Raw genomic sequence first — 7374 nt, forward strand, 5'->3', positions numbered from 1 at the left:
TTTGTCTTCAGGAAAGTTTTTCTTTAGAAACTTCAGAATTTTGGTCGGGCAGAGTGGTTCACACCTGCCTGTAATCCCAGCACTCTGAGAGGTCGAGGCGGGCATACTGTCTGAAGTCAGGAGTTCGAGACCAGCCTGGCCAACATGGCGAAACCCCATCTCTACCAAAAATACCAAAAAAAAAAAAAAAATTAGTTGGGTGTGGTGGTGCACACCTGTAGTCCCAGCTACTCCGGAAGCTGAGGCAGGAGAATCTTTTGAACCTGTGAGGTGGAGGTTGCAGTGAGCCGAGATCGTGCCAATGCACTCCAGCCTGAGTGATAGAGCGAGACTCTGACTCAAAAAAAAGGTGGGCATGGTGGCACAGACCTGTAGTCCCAGCTCCTCAGGACTGGGTCGAGGGCAGAGTGGCCAGACGCGACAGCGTATACTGGGGGAAAGACATATTGGCGACCCAGCGCACATCTGCCTATAATACTTAAATAATCTTAAGATCGTGGATAATAGTGATCTTATTAAAATATGAAACTATGGGTTTTCAGTATTTCCTTTTATTAGCATAATTTAACCATAAATGTATCTGATTTATAAATAATGGCTGTGTAGCAGTTGGTGTACAAAACTCCTGAAAGCTTAACAGCTAGCGGTCCCGCTGCACCCTGGCCCACACTGGCTCCCACAAGCTACTGCCAGGCTCTGACAAGGCATCAGGGCCCTGCCTGTCTGCAGCTTTTGCCCCAAGACTTTGGGGCTCCTCAGCTCAGGGCAGAGCCTGAGCTCCAGCCTGGGTCCACCCTCGGCCACGCCGCCTTTAATGCTCCTCCAACCTCCGGGCCACAGATACAACATTCCTAAAAATTCTGAAGTTTCTATTTCTTTTTTTTTTTTTAAACAGACAGAGTCGTCTTGCTCTGTCACCCAGCCTGGAGTGCCGTGATCTCGGCTCACTGTAACTTCTGCAACTTCTGCCTCCCGGGTTCTAGCAATTCTCCTTCCTCAGCCTCCAGAGTAGCTAGGAATACAGGCGCACGCCGCCACACCCGGCTAATTTTTTGTATTTTAGTAGAGACGGTTTCACTGTGTTGCCCAGGCTGGTCTCGAGCTCTTGAGTTCAGGCAATCCACCTGCCTCGGCCTTTCCAAGTGCTAGGATTACAGGCATGAGCCACCACGCCCGACATTTTTTTTTTTTTTTTTTTTTTGAGAGGGAGTCTCGCTCTGTCACCCAGGCTGGAGTGCAATGGCGCGATCTCAGCTCACTGCAACCTCCACTTCCCAGTCTCAAGCGATTCTCCTGCCTCTGGAGAATGATCTTAAGATGACTGAACATCATAGGCAGGTGTGTGCTGGGTCGCCGAGATGTCGCTCCCCAAGTATATACTCCGTCGCACCTGGCCTCTGCCCTCGGCCCTCAGCGCAGCCAAACAGGACATATCTCCAGAAACCCGGAGGGCACAAGCCCAGCTGTTGGCCATTCAGAGCGCAGCCTAAATGGGAGCACCTGCTTCAGTACGACGTCCCTAACCGCCAAGGGCTCATCAAGATCCTGCCTTGATTCATCGGATCTGTGCAAGATTAGCAAATGTCTACCCTAATTTTAGACCCACTCCTAAAAACTCACTCTTGGGAGCTATGTTTGGAATGGGGACCCTCTTCCTCTGGTATTATGTTTTCAAAAAACTTATCCAAGAAGGAAAATTGGATCAAACGTTTAACATCTCATATTAAATCTGGCAATGACAACTGCATGTATTCTTGCTTAAATAAACGGTCTATCAATTTTTTTTTTGTTGTTGTTGTTGTTTTTTAAGGATTGTGGGCCGGGTACAGTGACTCACGCCTGTAATCCCGGCACTTTGGGAGGCCAAGGCAGGCAGATCACTTGAGGTCAGTTCGAGACCAGCCTGGCCAACATGGCGAAACCCCGTCTCTACGCAAAATACAAAAATTAGCCGGGCGTGGTGGCGCATGCCTGTAATCCCAGCTGCTCAGGAGGCTGAGACAGGAGGATCACTTAAACACAGGAGGCAGAGTGAGCCAAGGCCATGCCACGGTGAGTGATGAAGGAAAAGCTGTATAATGGCTACTGCATGGAATGAAGTTGTTGGTACTTGAAATTGGCCATATCCAGCCTGGGCAACATGGCGAGACCGTCTCTTCAAAAAACACAAAAATTAGCCGGGCGTGGTGACTCACACCTGTAGTCCCAGCTACTCAGGAGACTGAGGTGGGAGGATCACTTGAGCCCAGGAGTTGAAGACCAGCCTGCAACATAGTGAGGCCCCATCTCTACAAAAAATTAAGAAGGCCGGGCGCGGTGGCTCACGCCTATAATCCCAGTACTTTGGGAGGCAGAGGCGGGTAGATCACGAGGTCAGGAGATCGAGACCATCCTGACTAACACGGTGAAACCCCGTCTCTACTAAAAATACACAAAAAAATTAGCCGGGCGTGGTGGCGGGCGCCTGTAGTCCCAGCTACTCGGGAGGCTGAGGCAGGAGAATGGCGTGAACCCAGGAGACGGAGCTTGCAGTGAGCCGAGATTGTGCCACTGCACTCCAGCCTGGGCGACAGAGCGAGACTCCGTCTCAAAAAAAAAAAAAGAAAAAAATTTTAAAAACAAATTAGCCAGGCATGGAGGCGTGAGCTTGTGGTCTCGGCTACTTGGGAGGCTGAGGTGAGAGGATCGCTTGAGCACATGAGATCACACCACTGCACTCCAGCCTGGGTGACAGAGACAACAAAATATAATTGGCTGGGCTGGGTGGAGTGGCTCACGCCTGTAATCCCAGCACTCTGGGAGGCCAAGGCGGGCAGATCACCTGAGATCAGGAGTTCGAGACCAGCCTGGCCAACATGGTGAAACCCCACCTCTAATAAAAATACAAAAATTAGCCGGGCGCCTGTAATCGCAGCTACTTGGGAGGCTGAGGCAGGAGAACTGCTTGAACTTGGGAGGTGGAGGTTGCAGTGAGCCAAAATCGCACCACTGCAGTCCAGCCTGGGCAACAGAGCGAGACTCTGTCTCAGATAAATTGGCCATCAAGGAAGTATTTACACCCCAAAAGTTGAAATACGAAGGCCTACCCTTTTTTCAGAGGTGCTAATTAAAATGCTCACCAGTGCTCCAGGCACAGGGCTTCCCAGGAGACAGGCACCCTCACATAAGGCTAAGGGAACAGGAGCAGTGCATCTGGCTCTAGATGCCCGGGCACGGGCACCACTGTGAGCTGTCCCAGGTGGTAGGGCCTGCACCCCCTGCTGATGGCAAAATGGCCTCTCTGCCAGGTGTGTCCTCTCAGGGTCAGGGTGCCCTGGGCTGTGACACTCCAGTCAGGCTACCACCAGCGAAGCCAGCCCAGCAGCTCCATGACACAGCAGCTGCTCTGTGTGGGTGCCCTGCCCTGCGAGGAACTTGGGGTGCACCCCATGCAGGGCCCCAGCCCTGCCTGTGCCCAGTCCCCCTGTTCATGCAGCTGCCTGTGGAGCCGTGAAGGTGCCGGCAGGATGGAAGCAGCCCCCAGGGGCTGGGCCTGAGGAGGTGGAGCGGGGCGTACGCGGGATGACAGTGGCACGTGCTCCTCCTTCCTTTGGTCCCCGCAGAGGGCAAATCTCAAGGAGGCGGGGACGGTGGCCTCGTGGATGCTGGGCAGCACCCCACTGCCTGCCTCCCCTGGGAAGACGAGATATGGGGCAAGACCTGCAGTCGCCCCAAGTGCCAGGGCGACCTTGGGGGCTGCCAGGGAGATACCCACCCACCGCACCAGACGCCTCCCCATGTGGATTCCTCCTGCAGGTACTCCTGGGGCTGGAGTCACCCCTGGGCCTGGCCTTGCTGCAGGCAGGGGAGAGCCATGGCTTCTGTGGCACGGGGGAGCCCCTGGTCTGGTGGGCAAGGACCCCTACCCTCAGGTCAATGCTCTTGGATCGAGGCCGGGACCTGAGCCACTTCGGAGCAGAGGCCGAACCCACCCCCACCTTGTGGCTGGCGACCCTCACTTTCCGGATGCTGAACCAGGCTCCAGTTGCCAGAGCTCCAGGGCACCCATGCCAGGAGCTGGCGCCATGCCCCTTGCTGTGTCCCTAGGCAGAAATGAGCCTGTGGGGCCCTGCAGCTAGCGTGGACCCTCAAAGGACCTGGGGCAGACCCTCACTTTGGCCCCCCATCTGGTTTTCTGCAGAATGGGCTCTGGAAAGCCTCAGGCAGTAGAGGCGCCCTGTGTGGAAGCTGGACACTGCCAGAGTGGTGGGACTGGAGGCTCTGGGGACAATGGGCCCTGTCTGTGTCCTCTGGGGCGTGTCCCACACACATTTCTCCACCTTGGCACAGCTGACGCCTGGGAACTGTTCTGGGCACTCAGCGTGCTAAGCAGTGTCCTGAGCTCTCAGACCCCCGCCACGTTCCCCCTAGCCTGAGCCCCCTGAGCTCCCATCAGTTTCCTCCAGATGGTGGCCCAGAAGCTGAGACACAGGCAGCATGGAGTCCCAGGGATGGGCTACCCTGATGCCTGCACTTCCTCTCTTGGCAGCCTTGCAGGGCCAGTCATCTCGTGGATGGGCAGGAATGACCCTTCACACAGGGCAGGGCAGGTCAGTGCTTTGGACGTCTCTGCAGCGGTGACTGCAAGTAGATGCCCACCATGCTGGGGCTCCTGGGGAACCACTGGAGGCAGCCACCACGTGCCCTCTCCTAAGCCAGCCAGTCTCCAGCTGGGGACCACCAGGATACCCTGGTCCCATCGGCACACTGCAGCAGGGAGATGAGAGACCTGCAGGACAGTCTTCCTGGTCCAGACAGAATGAAGCAAAGAAACCAGAAGGAAGGGGCAGATGGCCAGGAAGGTGATCCCTGGGGGACCTCATTGCGCACTGGTGTAAGCCGTCCCCCCGTGCCTTGACAGTTTAGAGAGTCCACGGCAACGACCGAGAGGTCACCACCCCTTCCCACAATCCACTAACAATCCAGAGGCCACCACCCCTTCCCAACAATCCAGTAACAATCCAGAGGTCACCACCCTTCCCAACAATCCACTAACAATCCAGAGGCCACCACCCCTTCCCAACAATCCACTAACAATCCAGAGGTCACCACCCCTTCCCAACAATCCAGTAACAATCCAGAGGTCACCACCCTTCCCAACAATCCAGTAACAATCCAGAGGCCACCACCCCTTCCCAACAATCCACTAACAATCCAGAGGTCACCACCCTTCCCAACAATCCACTAACAATCCAGAGGTCACCACCCTTCCCAACAATCCAGTAACAATCCAGAGGTCACCACCCTTCCCAACAATCCAGTAACAATCCAGAGGTCACCACCCTTTCCAACAATCCACTAACAATCCAGAGGTCACCACCCCTTCCCAACAATCCAGTAACAATCCAGAGGTCACCACCCCTTCCCAACAATCCAGTAACAATCCAGAGGTCACCACCCCTTCCCAACAATCCAGTAACAATCCAGAGGTCACCACCCCTTTCCAAACAATCTGGTAACAATCCAGAGGTCACCACACTTTTCCAACAATCCAGTAACAATCCAGACGTTACCACCCCTTTCAAAACAATCCAGTAACAATCCAGACGTTACCACCTCTTTCGCAGAAAGTCCTGTAACTCACCCCTTAATTTAATGTAAGTAAATGTGCATATAAATACAGTTGTCAACAGCCCTCAAGTGCAGCTCTGGGCCCCCTGTCTAGGCATTATCCTTGCCCCATGAGAACCAGCTCCAGTTCAATAAAAGGAATGCTGAGGGCCAGGTGCAGTTGCTCACGCCTGTAATCCCAGCACAGGCCAAAGTGGGCGGATCACCTGAGGTCAGGAATTCAAGATCAGCCTGGCCAACATGGTGAAACCCCATCTCTACTAAAAATACCAAAATTAGCCAGGCATGGTGGCAGACGCCTGTAATCCCAGCTACTCGGGAGGCTGAGGCAGGAGAATCTCTTGAACCCAGGAGGAGGAAGTTGCAATCAGCTGAGATTGCAGCACTGCACTCCAGCCCAGGCGACAGAGCAAGACTGTTGGATTGCTGTGGGCCAGGTGCAGTAGTGGACACCCACAATGTCCACCAGCAAGAGGGAGGGTGAGGAGGGAGGACTGTTTGAGCCTGGGAGACAGAGGTTGCAGTGAACTGTGATTGTGCCACTGCACTCCAGCCTGTGTAACAAAGTGAGACTCCATCTCCGATTAAAAAAAAGAAAAAAAAAAAGATTGCTGTCTACTACCACCTGCATTCTTCCCTGGGTGAAGACAAGAACCCTCATGGGCTAAGCCCTAATTTGGGGGCTTGCTGGCCACGGATCATCTGGTGGTCATGAAAGGACAAAGATAGCAAGGAGGCCGGGCGCAGTGGCTGACGCCTGTAATCCCAGCACTTTGGGAGGCTGAGGCGGGAGGATCGCGAGGTCAGGAGATGGAGACCATCCTGGCTAACACAGCGAAACCCTGTCTCTACTGAAAATACAAAAAATTAGCTGGGTGTGGTAGCAGGTGCCTGTAGTCCCAGCTACTCGGGAGTGCCATTGCACTCCAGCCTGGATGATAAGAGTGAGACTGTCTCAGAAATAAAGTAAAATGGCTGACAAAAATAAATTGGGGTTAGAGGAGAATCAACCAAGAGAAGGGGAGAAGGATGTGGTTCTGTCCAGGGTGGCCAAGCAATGGGGTATCCAAATCCACTGCTTGGCTGCCGTGAGGGAACAGGCCCTTGGACTTGGGACCTGGCCGGAGCACAGATCTCACAGGAGGTGGCGGTGCTGTGGCCGTCGCCCACTGCTCGGCTCCACCACAGGCCAGAAAAGAGGATGGTTCTGAAAAGAGCCTCTGGTTCGTGTGGCAGCGTTGATCGCCCACCGCGGCACGTCTTGCTGTCTCATGTTGCCTCCACTGCCAGTCGCCTCCATTCTCCCATCTCCCTGCCTCTTGCTCACTCCCTTGTTTTTTTTTTTTTTTTTTTTTGAGACGGAGTCTCGCTCCGTTGCCCAGGCTGGAGTGCAGTGGCGCAATCTCGTCTCACTGCAAGCTCTGCCTTCTGGGTTCAAGCGATTCTCCTGCCTCAGCCTCCTGAGTTGCTGAGACTACAGGCATGTGCCACCACACCCGGCTAATTTTTGTATTTTAAGTAGAGACGGGGTTTCACCGCATTGGCCAGGATGGTCTCGATCTCCTGACCTCATGATCTACCCACCTTGGCCTCCCACAGTGTTGGGATTACAGGCGTCAGTGTGCCACTGCACCCAGCCCTTTTTTTTTTTTTTTTGGCATCTTTAGTAGAGATGGGGTTTCACTATTTTGCCCAGACTGGTCTCAAACTCCTGAGCTCAAGCAATCCACCCACCTCAGCCTCCCACAGTGCTGGGATTACAGG

At 54.1% G+C, this 7374-nt stretch overlaps 1 pseudogene, besides 2 other annotated features; it reads left to right on the top strand.

Annotated features, from left to right (window-relative positions):
* NDUFB4P8 (NADH:ubiquinone oxidoreductase subunit B4 pseudogene 8) lies at positions 1335 to 1779 on the top strand (annotated as a pseudogene).
* Positions 4716 to 5258: an enhancer, noted in NCBI's record as "NANOG-H3K27ac-H3K4me1 hESC enhancer chr1:1317401-1317943 (GRCh37/hg19 assembly coordinates)". NCBI's record gives its function as "activates a minimal SCP1, AML or CMV promoter by ChIP-STARR-seq in primed H9 embryonic stem cells {active_cell/tissue: H9 hESC(primed)}" and the evidence as "EXISTENCE:reporter gene assay evidence [ECO:0000049][PMID:30033119]".
* Positions 5259 to 5800: an enhancer, noted in NCBI's record as "NANOG-H3K27ac-H3K4me1 hESC enhancer chr1:1317944-1318485 (GRCh37/hg19 assembly coordinates)". NCBI's record gives its function as "activates a minimal SCP1, AML or CMV promoter by ChIP-STARR-seq in primed H9 embryonic stem cells {active_cell/tissue: H9 hESC(primed)}" and the evidence as "EXISTENCE:reporter gene assay evidence [ECO:0000049][PMID:30033119]".

The sequence above is a fragment of the Homo sapiens genome, chromosome 1, assembly GCF_000001405.40.
Source record: "Homo sapiens chromosome 1, GRCh38.p14 Primary Assembly".
Classification (NCBI taxonomy): Eukaryota; Metazoa; Chordata; class Mammalia; order Primates; family Hominidae; genus Homo; species Homo sapiens.